At 33.6% G+C, this 13238-nt stretch overlaps 1 protein-coding gene across 18 annotated transcripts in view, besides 1 other annotated feature; it reads right to left on the bottom strand.

The window, feature by feature from the left end:
- Nucleotides 1-13238, bottom strand: part of GALNT13 (polypeptide N-acetylgalactosaminyltransferase 13) — a 1388282-nt gene that overhangs the window by 558949 nt on the left and 816095 nt on the right. The gene's annotated exons all lie outside the window — the stretch shown is intronic.
- Nucleotides 6572-7133: an enhancer, noted in NCBI's record as "OCT4-NANOG hESC enhancer chr2:154747006-154747567 (GRCh37/hg19 assembly coordinates)". NCBI's record gives its function as "activates a minimal SCP1, AML or CMV promoter by ChIP-STARR-seq in primed H9 embryonic stem cells {active_cell/tissue: H9 hESC(primed)}" and the evidence as "EXISTENCE:reporter gene assay evidence [ECO:0000049][PMID:30033119]".

The raw sequence follows: 13238 nt of genomic DNA, 5'->3' as shown, positions 1-13238 counted from the left end.
AGTGTGATGACAAACATGGTATTTCCAGTCTAAAAGTATCTTCCCACAAATTACTTATTAATTACAATGGGGAAAATAGTAACTAGTAGTGGAGAAACTTGGCAGAGACCACCTTAACAAATTGATCAAAGACAACATCATCAATAATCAGACAAATACGACATGCCTCCAAGTATGATGCACTTGAGAAGAACACAACATCACTTTTGTGGTATGCCTGTCAAAAATGCAAAACAGAATTAACCATTAGGAAACATTCAGTAAAGCCAAATTGAGAATATTGCGCTCCATATCTGATCTGAACTCTTATAATGACCAAGTAATTAGACTGAGGAAATGTTCCAGATAAAAGGACTTTTAATGATAAGACAACAAAATACACCTGGGATCCTAGAAATATACTGGGAGTTACACAATACAAGTAATATATTGTGAATATTGCATTAAAAATTACACACCGGTTATAGAGGGCAATATTCTTTTTCTTAGGAAATGTACACTTAAACACTTCAGTTAAGGAAGCATGATGTCTGCAACTGATTCTCAAATGATTCAGGAAAAAAAATGTGGTGTGTCTACACGTGTGCATGCACACATGAGCACATAGAGAGAAAGCACAGACAGAAATGAAGCAAAAGAGGCAAAATTGTAAACAACTGTTGAATCTGAACAAAAGGTATTCTTAAACACAATTCTTATAAATTTTCTGTACATTTGAAAGTATGTCAAAATTTAAAATTATGCAACAAGGTAAAAATAAAAATAAAAGGTTTTATTTTAATCTAGACATTTATATTTAGGAATTACAGAATAATATTCAAACATATATCGAGAAAGTATTTTTAAGAAGAGAACAACAGACACTGGGTCCTACTTGAAGCTGAAAGGTAGGAAGAAGGTGAGGATCAAAAAACTACCTATCGGGTACTATGCTTATTACCTGGGTGACAATATAATCTGTACACCAAACCCCTGTAACACACAATTAGCCTATATAACAAATCTGCACACATACCCTTGAAGCTAAAAGTTAAAAATAAATAAATCAGAAAAAAAGTAAAGGTTAAAAAATAATTCAAAATCATAAATGTTTTTGAATAATTAGTATAGTGAGAAATCCAGAGTGATAGCTTACATACTATATATCATTTAGTGTTTATGTATATACAATTTACATCTTCATATATATTTAATATTTATATATTCAGATTAAATGAAAGATATATTTATTCATAATTTACACATTGATATATACCTATTAAATATATAAAATACAGGAGAATGAGAACAAATGTAAAACCAACTTTAGAGTTTTAAAATAAATCACACAAACAACATTATATTATAGTCAGAAAATTAAGCAATGTAAAGTTAAATAATAAAATGGTAATCAAAAAATAAGTGAAAGTAGTCAGGACTTAAAGAAAAAAGACAAAAGGTTATCAGTCTTTAAAGATTAGCAATATAAGTGGTTTTTCCTTATACAATTAGTTTTCTAAATCGAAAGTGGCAAGTTTTTTTTAATTTAGGAAAAAACATAAAAATATAAAATCATCCTTAATTCCAGAAACAACTATCCTGTTCTTACTCGCAGACTATTATTTAAATAATTATATCATACAAACTATTTTATGATTATATTCTCTTTTTACTTAATTGTGAATTTCTTGTGTGACAATATCTTTTTTTATCATTACACTGCAAGATCACTGATTAATATCCTGTTGCTATGGCATGCCATCATTTACTTATTTTCTGAATATAAATTATCATCAAATATTTGTGGCAAAAAGAAGTTACTGTGAAGGTCCTTGTGCATATATCTTCTGCCACAGCGTGATTGTTTCCTTAGGATAAAATGCCCAGAACTGGGATTTCTGGGTCAAGTAGCATGAGACTGTTAAAACTTGTTAAACCATATTTTATGAAACTGATGTACCCAACTTTCCTATTTGACCATCTTCCAAATCAGGTTATATTTTACAATTACTGCAGCCAGTTATAGTCATGACAAAGTGTTTGTTGCCTGCTGATGCCCCAACTTGACCCTAGTTCTGCATATGGTCATGCCTTCATTTCAGTTGTATGCACTCTAGGTATTCTACATGTTGAGTTTAATTACCTTTCAAAATGTCTTCTAAAAGATTACACAAAAAGGTAACACTGAAATGAAAAATTGTTTATACGGAAAGGCATGGAAACAAAGCAACTTTAGTAAAATAATTATTCATTTTGTTGAGCTAAAAAAAGAAAAATGCTTACAAATAGAGGAAGATGTGTTACAATCTTGAAACTCAGAACATAGAAAAAAATGGTCATTACAGGATAAGGGATGTAATTAAGGCAGGAAACACTACAAATCCCCCTGAACAATACAAACAACTATTCCAGGTCTCATCACCAATTTATAGCAACAATGTGTCAAAACGTCTCAGCAACACTAGATATTACCATTTTTAATGCCATTTTAATCAATGGTTCTCATACACAGCCAACTTATTTCAGTCCCTCTTTTTTAATTCCCATATTCACTTTAGATTCCTGCAAATTCCCATAGATTTAGCAATTTTCCTAGTCTGTAGATTCCACATTTTGTATTATTAAATTATGGAGATTATTACAAATATTATTCAGTACAAGTCCCCAATAAACACTTTTAGTCTTACTTTGTTTGCTCTACCAGGTCACTGATTCAGGGACAAGTAACAAGCTATGCCTCCCTTTACACAAGACTACATATTCTTTGCTGGTTGATCAGAACAGCATGTCAGACAAAAACTAAACCTTACCGAAGTAAAGATATATGAACTTTTTGTCCTCTCATATTTAAGTTCTGTTATTGTGTTAGAGAAGAAAATTACATTAACTCTGAGTTATTTACTTCTCTCAGACATGTTGGCTGTTACCCCATTTTTTCTGCTCTTAGAAGTGTATGGAAATCAATCATCATTTTGTCTTATTATTTTCATAAATATCAAAGCAAACTGATTAATCTATAACTTCAAAAGTCATCCCTAGTATGTCCTCCCTCTTTTCCTCCCTCCCTGTCACCCCCATCTCTCTCTCTCTTTTAATTTGACCTTCAAGGCCACTAACTCCCTTGCATATTTTCTTATTGTAAATACTACTTCATAATGATCTCATGATATTTTCGATCACAGGCATGACAAATCAGAATCCCCTGATTTGTACACAACCAATATTTAAACATAACCTCTCTGTACTTCATCAGCCAATTTATATCACTGCGTAATTCCATATCCAGTCTCTACATCATGGTTAGGTGCCATGTTGTTGCATTTCCTAACTGAATACTCTATCATCCATTCCTCCTTTTTATTCAACCAGTTGAGGAGAGGCCAGAGACCTGTGGGTTCTCAAGTGGGGTCTCGAGAGATTCAAGTGGGTTGTCTGTCAATTCTTTGTTCCCTTTGTTTCATTTTTTTTCATTGAATGTTTAAAGAAGTGGCAAAATGATTGTTCCAAGCAGTCACCAGCCAACGTGAAGAGTGTTCAATGACAGCTCCTTCACCACTGGCCCCTCGCTACCTGAAGAAACAGGAGAAAATATTGGCTCTTCTGTCTTCTGGGATGAAAACTGGAACACTTCTGCTTTATTCACTGCACTCCATTCCCAGTAAACACACAATAAAGCATGGCATAATTTATACCTTTTGCTTCATTATTTCCTAGTTTCTGAAGAAATGCTGCCTTTTCCTTTGCATATCCTTACTTTTTGACCCATTCCACTTCCATCAAGTTATTCTAAGACATAATAAGATATACAGGCAAAATTTCACGTTCAAAGTACTTCATCCGTGTCATTTATAATGCTACAATTTTAAATCCATAAAAGCAACAATTAGGGATCAACTAAGTAAATTATGGCTTGTCCATATGATGAAATGCCATGTAGTCATAAAAATAATGTCCCAAATAATATTTATTTATATTCCAAAATCTAATCTTCAAAACAATATCAATAATTTCTAAAATAATATGGAGAATAAAGTTGTTTTGTAAATAATGACATAATTTACATATATGTAAATACATGTGCCTATATATGTATATAAATTCAGTATAACAATTCACTATACAGTGAAATGTTAACATTGTTACGTCTAAATGGTGTAAAAATGTAAGTAATTTTCATATTCTTTTTTACATTTTTTCTAATTTTCCAAATATTCCACAAAAAATACATATCATGTTATAATCCAAAAAAATACTAGCTTAAAAGCTGAAAGTGAACAAAAGCAACAAAGTGCATAGGTAAGAACTAATTACACAGCTATAAGTTAGGCAGAACTTCAACATTAAAAGAGCTGGAAAATAGTACAAAGTTGCAACATAAGTAAGAAACAAAATCAATTTTCCAAAAGTTAAGAAAACATGATTTTTTGACGAATGTGGTTGAACCTGAAAGGTGCCTCGCCAGTGTCTAATCTCTCCTTTCTTAGCTGCTATTGGCACATTTATGCTCTTTGACCTTCGCCTGTTCAAAATGTAGTTATAATGATTGGAACCCTGACAGCTATTTTGAGTACAAGAATCCTAGAATGAATGCAAGAATCCAAGATCTCTGGTAACATTACAGAGGTCATCTTAGCAGACTACCAACATCAAGACTTCATATCTTGTGAGGGAAAAATAAAGTACCAATTTCTTTAGGCCACTCTGGATACACACTGAGCACAATTCCTAAATGATACACATTATCTAAGAATTTGCAGATAAAATTAAAGAATGTTTTTGTCATGGGTTTAATGAGTATTTGGCTAGCATACATTAGGGTTCACATGTCGAATCATATTTAAAATGAAGACAGAGGACAGAAATGGAAAGAATTAACAGTTGGAAAATTAGGATACATTAAAAATGACCCAAATAAAGAAATTTATATTTCATTGAAAAATGTTTAGTAGTTTGTTTTTAGTAATGTGAAAAGTTATTTTTAAAATTATAAGTAAAGAAATAGCTTTAACAGTACCAGGAGAGCTTATACTACACTGTAAAAATAAATTTCTAGAAATTAAAGATTGCTTAGATATTAATTTTGTCTTTTTGTTTTTTAAGTGAAGACATTTTAGAACATCTTTAAACCTAACTTTAAATCTGGGGCCTTTCAAATAACGGTCCAACTAGAAGTGTGCTATAAACATGGGATGGAAGAAATGGGTTTTATTTTTAGCATAATCTTGGACCCATGATTTTTATAAACTTGTAGAGATTATCATTGCAAGAGATTATGTTAATATTTTTATATCCTCATTATATTCCAGAAAAAGATACAAGGCATGTCACAAAGATTCATTCAATAGAGCATCATTAAATTCATAGCCCTTTATCCTACTGCATCAATATTTAACAATTTTTCAAGACATTTATAGAATGAATGGTTGTATTATGGACTTTGGTAGGTCTCAGAGGAACAATGAGAAATGTGATGTCTCCATTGTGAAAAAGCTTCTCATCTAAAATGGGAGGCATGTGAGGGCACCACTATGATAACAGGTTGAAAGTTAGCAACAGCAATAGGAACAAGGTTCTATGGGAACACAGAAAATAGAATAATTTTGCCTTGGGGATTTGGAGAAATCCTTCAAGGTTTTGCTCGTGTGAGCTGATCTTTGAAATGAGCATCTAGGTAATTCAAGGCTGCAAAGCAACGTGAGCAAAGAAACAATCATGGACTTCTATGATAAGTCCAGGTAACAGAGAATCAATTCAGCGAATCCTGAAAGTAGATTAAGAGGGGGTAAAAAGTGAGATGCAAGGCCAAAAAAGGTCATTTGGAATAGATCTCTAAGAAGGACCTTGAATGATATGCTAAAGAATTTGAAATTTAACCTGTAGAGCTTTTGAAGGTTTTTAACACCCAGGAGTTACATGCTCATTCAGAGATCCCTCTATTGACAATGTAGAGTATTTAACAAACCAATGATGAGGCATAGTTTTATTTTAGAGAAACATATTAGTCTTGGGTTTAGATTAAGCACAACCTTGACTGAGGGCTAGCAGGAGTGACAGAATCAGCCCTTGAGATCCTTTTCAATTTTAAACCCTGTGACTTATGTCTCCTGCAAAGGAAACAATTTCCAGGCAAATTCTTATAAATGACATAAGTGGCAGAACTCTGAAGCCACTTGGGTGAAAATCATAAAGGCGTTGTGATTTCAAATACCAAATGAGTTTGACAAGAAGCATATAAAGTGCACAATCTCTGACTAGCTAACAGTGGAATTTGAGAAGAAAAAAAAAGTCACATGGAAGACATTCTTATAGCAAGTAGAAAGGCAGTTTCAACTATCCTACTGGGAAAGCCAGATAAAAATTTGACTGACCTAAATCCTTTTTGGCCTGCATCATTTTGCAAAGTAGCCTCTACTGCTCTGGAAGGCCCAAGGGACCTATCTGTACATATGCAATCTAATTAAATGCATGTAGCTAAATGCATGCAGTAAGGACTTAATTGTGTAGAGCATTTTGCTAGGTACAGCACAAAAAGAATTCTGTTAGACTGCCTTTCTGGATTTTCTAATCTACAAATAGCAAAGAGATGTAGACATACATCCATAGTTTAGGTAGAAGAAAGAATTTATTCAAGTATAGGAATAGGCAAAATTATATGTACCAACAATGAATGCTTCATGAGCATCAATAAATAAGTGGAACAACACCTTGATTAGCTCCATTTCAAGGGGAACCACAGTTAAGGGTCAGAGAATAAATGCCAGTGACCAGATCTCACTCCTGAGACCTACTGGAAGGGAAAAGAAAAGCTCTGCTCTATTCAGGTTTAACAGCTCTAAACGGCAAGGTCAGTCAAGCAGTCTGAGGCACAGCATGTCACAGGAGTGATGTGCTGAAGAAAGAAGAAACAAACCAGCCACCACACAGCATGAGTCTGGGGATACAAGCTCCTTTCCTTTCCTTTTGTTTTCTCTTCTGTTTTTGTTGCTGTTGTTGTTGTGCCATTCTAACAAGGGCATTTAGCCTTACAGAGGGAGACCCAGATAAAAGTGTCAGCTAAAAGGCAGGAACTCATACCATTTCTAATAAATAGAAGGTGTGAACCTGGATTGAGAAAGCAACACGGGAAAAAGTTTTAAGTTGGGGTGCAGTGTGAATTTTATCCCTGAGACCAAGTACATTGTGTATGAGATCAGAATTCTTAAGTCCCCTGAGTGACTGGTTTGATGGCAATCAGCCAAGTATATCATGAGATCACAACTGTCGATACTAACAAAACTCCCTGTCCTTGAACCCCTGCACAGTGATAAGTGAATGAATGAGGCACATATTTTCCCATAAAATACAACCATAAATAACATAATATGAACACATTTACTAAAACACAGAAAAGGAAAACTAAAAATTCTACAAAATAACAACATGTAATTTATACATTTGTAATTCATGATTCATACATTTGGAACACTGTTCATATAGACAGATGATTTTTGTGTTTGTTTATGTTACAAAGACATCCTTTCTTGATAGAATAGCCTCATGAAAACATGTAGCTCTATTTCGCAGGTGTTACTCTTTCCTGATTGAGAAAATAATTCTCAGAAGCAAGAATGAGAGAACAATTATCTTGATAGTATGAGACTTCAGTAGGGCAGACACTTCACAGGAAGCAAGCAGAAGTGCAGACACACCCACAAAACTAAATTTTGGCCAGTGGACCCCCAGGGTTTTATAATTGCAAAAAGCATTCAATAATTGCATGCCATGAGCATGAACCCACTGCTGAAAACCCACTGGTAAGTATGTATCTCAATAAATTGGAAGTGCCTGATCTTGCATTTACATAGTGCCTTAAACTATGTAGATCTCAAAATCACTAGCTACATTTATTAATTGATTATGTATACTGACTGCTTAAGCAGGAATCATTTCATGCATCAATAAAGTACAGTCATTTCTATATTAAAATGTAGCAGCATTTTACTGGCCCACAATTTTATATACCCAGTTACTGTGAGATGTAGGCCTCTGGCCAAATAAAAGTGCATCGGTATTTAGTGAATTATAGTAAAATGGCAAGTGCATATAATACAACATGATTAAAATCACATAATAAAATTTTTCAATGGTAAGTAATAAATACATATGAGATTTTATAAAAAGCAAACAGACAGAAAGTAACTCCCACTACATGTAGTAGTTTTAGAGTGTGTTAGTGTGGGGTGAGGAAGGATAAAAGAGTGTCAGGAAGGCTTTGAGGGTGGTTAAAAACTTAAAACTGATTAGAACCTAACAAGAAAGTTATACTGAACGTAAGGTTTGGGATAAGGAGCATTTTTTTTTAATCCACCTGGCAAAATTTAATTTGATCTAATATCAGGTCAAAATAAACTCTAGAGTTAATGAAGGAACTGAAAGTCAAGAATGAATCTGAATTATGAAATAAGATCAATAATTTATACTTAGTTTTAGTGGTGTCCAAGGCCAAGATCGTGGAGGACCACACTTAAAAACTGCCAGGAAACTTAGAAAAATGAAAAATCAACTTTCCATAGGAGCGCTTTGCAGAAAAGCACACACACAGGTAGTTTGCATCAACTCTGCCCTGTGCTAGGAAACAGTGTATCTTTGATTTCATGCTCGTGAAGAATACACTGTAAAATTAATCATATTGCTAAATATTTTATAACTATGGAAAACATCTTTTGTGACTTACTAACTTCCAAGGTGCTTGGTGTTGAATAAAATGAAGACTGTTCTGAAAGTGAACTTACAGGATTAATTATCAATTGACTATCACTCTATAAATAAAATAATTATAATTGGTGTAATATGTTGGCAGATAGATGCAATAATACAAGAAAATGAATCAATTGTCTGTCTGTGAGTACATGTAACCTTGGTTGAAAATGGTTAACCTCATGCATGGTCCCCAGAATTGGCAGGAGTTAGTACTTGATTTTAAATATATTTTATGTAGAAATTGTTTACAAAGTTATTGAAGCTTGTAACAAAATTTTATTTTTAATTACTTTTAAAGTATTTTCAAGTGGCACACAAAACTTCAAGATGGAATGAAACAGGAGCACTAAGGAAATGCAAATGAGGACCCAACATTATTTTAGGCAGCACTAGAAAATTGCTTGAATCACATGGCAAAAGTTCTAATAGGTTTTAAAAATAATTTATTTACTTGCAATATGAAACATTTTTTAAACACAGATAAATACAATACTATTTAATAACCTATAATGTCCTCATATAATAAGCTCACAAAACATAATGCAATTTATTTCTGTACCACCATTTTTAAAAATAACTATTTTATTTTACTGAATATGTTCTTGGAGCTGAGGAAGTTGTAGGTTACATTTAAAACTTAGTCCTTGTACATTTCAACATTCTGCAAATGATTTGGAAATAAATCAAAAACAGTATGATGCATCATTAAATTCCCACCAGCAGTTTATTAATTTATGTATAATTATCATTTGCACAAGTTATTATGAAGGAAATGACAAAATACCAGTGCTCAAAACATATTCTCCTCACTTGATAAGAAAAGAGAAGTGGAATTCAAATATTTCTAAATGGGAAATCAATTACAATTTGTTATTTCAAATTATGCTTTCTTCCACATTAAAAAAGCAGAAAGTCTCCAAATAAGCATGTATAAAAATCATTAAAAACTAGATATCACATACCGAAAATAAAATCTGTGTCTTTAAAGAATAAGAAATATACAATGTTTCATCTTTTTCATTCAGAAATGAAGGGTGGGATGGCAATGTTTTAAAATGTTCTCTATTTTACACACACAAAAAGCATTGATCTTTCAATTTCTCTAAGCCTCTTCCACAAGAAAAACAACATAGTCAAAGCAGATCAAATAACTAAGGGGGAAATGCAAGATGGCTGTCACTTAACACAGAACACCTAACAAAAATCAGCGGTGATGTTGGAAATTCCCAAATAGAAGATATCAACCTTGTTCTCAGCTAGATGCACTTTTTTGCAAAGTGGTAGGTCATTGTTTAGCATTGTGTATAATGTGTATAATATCATAATATTTATCATGAAATGAATGCACCTTTGCCTTCACACATTTATCTTCCCTTCTCTCAAGTAAGATTTCTCAATATTTCACTAACACAGTTTTACTGTTTCTACTTCACTTGGCTTCAGTCCCATCTTTAACTCCTATTTATTTATTGGCACTTGGGGCCCAATTTTGCAGTAACTCCTTACAATAACTCTTCCAGGTCTTAGATTTTATTTCGAAAATCGGTTAAGCAGGCCAAATTTACTAGGCACCTGTCACACTAGATACCAAGAGAGGACCATCGGAGAGGAGATACACAAATAACAGCTCACATTTATTGAGCACCTGCTAAGTGCCAAGCACAACAATCAGTACATTTCATGCATTGTCACCTCAACTCTCATGTCATTACAATTATAAGGTGGATGAGAATATCTAGCTCATAGTGCTGTAAGAATTAAATGAGTTAATGTTATGTAAAGCACTTAAAAGAGACCTTCTTGCCCAGTAAGAGACCTGGGTTGTATTCATGTTATCTACTATGACTATTATCTCCATTTTAAAGATGAGGTAACTAAGTTCCATGCAGGCTATGTAACTGTCTTCTGTCATACTTCTAGTAATTAGATATAAGAATTTTTAAACTACATTTATGTGATTCCAGGCACCACAAAATTAAACTTGTGTCTTTAACACTTAATTGTGTTTTACTGTCTCCTAACTTGAATCTCTACATTTATCTTATCTTAGAATGAAGAGGAAGTTAATATGCTAAAAGGTCCTAATTAATTGCCAAGAACTTCAACTTTAATATGTAACTTAATGGACCTTAGATTCACCAACCACATAAAATAACAGGACAAAAGAGCTCTAACTGCCCACAAGTTACTGTCCTCAAATCAAGATCACCCAGAAAATGGTAAAATGAGGGGACCAAGAGAGACGGTAATCACAAACTATCAAGAGAAAACAGATATTCACAGCTTTAAAAAGTGCCTCTTCCTTTGTCCATGTGTTCTCATTGTTCAATTCCCACCTATGAGTGAGAACATGCAGTGTTTGGTTTTTTGTCTTTGCTATAGTTTGCTGAGAATGATGGTTTCCAGCTTCATCCATGTCCCTACAAAGGACATGAACTCATCGCTTTTTATGGCTGCATAGTATTCCATGATGTATATGTGCCACATTTTCTTAGACACAGGAAGGGGAACATCACACACTGGGGCCTGTTGCGGGGTGGGGGGAGTGGGGAGGGATAGCATTAGGAGATATACCTAATGTTAAATGACAAGTTAATGGGTGCAGCACACCAACATGGCACATGCATACATACATAACAAACCTGCACGTTGTGCACATGTATCCTAAAACTTAAAAGTATAATTTAAAAAAAAAAGAGTGCCTCATTGTTAATTTGTTTTTTTTTTTTCAGTTCAGAATCCCCTATCCTTTTATACTATAAAAGACTAGGTTTTACCACATAAATTAAATAAAGTATTTTTTCTCAGTTTTCCACAATATATTTTTGTGGTATACGTATCCTACACTATGGGGGGAACCTTGGAAACTTCCTCATTTCTCTCTCTTTCTCTCTCTCTGTCTCTCTCTCCATTTCTATCCATAGAAAGCTAACTATGATTATTTTTTAGTTTGCTGATTCATGTTCATAGTTAAGAATGCTAAAGCATGAACATATACACAGCAACAACCGGCAGGTTAGTAAATTTTTTTGTGGGAACTACCCATATGCTCACGTTAATTAGGAATAGCTAGTATCTTTACAGCAATTATTTTGATCAGCTACAAAATTAGTGTTAGCCCAAGGATACTAAGGAGTGAACATTTCAAGAGCAGCTGCTGATCTAAGATGGCAATATCTTCACATCTGTGAACACTGAAATGGCCATCCTTCATTTACCAATTCTTCTGTAAATTTGCAAGCACATCAGGTAATCACAGTAACTGGTACCGTTTAAAAACAGAGAGAACTATAAAATGTACTGCCTCTATCTGGAATCCACTATAAAATGTTGTTTCAAATTATTCCTCAGTGCTTTGAAAGTGTTTAGGAAAACAGGTGAAATGGAGATACGATCTTTTAAACAATCATCTTGTAATGTGCATTTTTACATCAGCAAAAAAAACCATTAAGCTGTGGGAAAATAAGGCCTTGAAGAATGAAAAAAGTTCTATTAAAACAATTCTATTTAGGATCTGGTTACACACATTCATAAAACTAAAGATGTATGATTCTGATTTGATTGGTAAAGTCAGTTAGACACAAAGTAAAGAATCAAACTTAAAGGATACAGGACAGAGACTGAAGATCATTGTTAAGAAGGCAATGAACACCTTTAGTCTAATAAAGACCCAGAGCAAGTAAGAGCTCTGTATCAGTCTTAGGCTTTATACCTAGAAAAATTCTAGTTCACTTTATTCTCAATAAAATGATAGACCTATCTTCACAAAATAAACATTAGACTACAAAGTGGTACTGGGGACTTTTTAATATCAGTTGATTTATTTTTATTTTATTTTATTTTATTTATTTTACTTTATTTTATCTTTTGAGACAAAGTTTTGCTCTTGTTGCCAGGCTGGAGTGCAATGGTGCAATCTCGGCTCACTGCAACCTTTACCTCCTGGGTTAAAATGATTCTCTTCCTTCAGCCTCCTGAGTAGCTGGGACTAGAAGTGCGTGCCACGACGCTCGGCTAAAAAATGTGTGTGTGTGTGTGTGTGTGTGTGTGTATATACATATATACACACACACACACACATATATATACACACACACACACATATATATATATACACACACATATATATATATATATATATTCGTATTTTTAGTACAGACTGGGTTTCACCATGTTGGCCAGGCTGGTCTTGAACTCCTGACCTCAGATGATCCGCCCACCTCAGCCTCCAAAAGTGCTGGGATTACAAACCCAGCACCTGTTGCTTTAAAGATGAGGAAACTGACATTCAGAGAACTTAAATGACATGTTATAGAGTTTATTAATGGCTTTATCAGGACTAAATCCAATGTTCCCCTCTTAGCCCCATAATGTAGTACTATAGGGAATTATTGCTATCACGTTCAGTGACAAAAGTGCCAAGAATTTATATTTCTTTATATAGTAAACCCCCTCAACCCCAACCAGTTCCTCTCCCCAGAGGAACTCACTTTTAATTGTTTATTAGCTCTACAATGGAA

Source organism: Homo sapiens, chromosome 2 (assembly GCF_000001405.40).
Source record: "Homo sapiens chromosome 2, GRCh38.p14 Primary Assembly".
Lineage (NCBI taxonomy): Eukaryota > Metazoa > Chordata > Mammalia > Primates > Hominidae > Homo > Homo sapiens.
The sequence above is the reverse complement of the archived record's forward strand: the minus strand, read 5'-3'. Positions and strand labels throughout refer to the sequence as shown.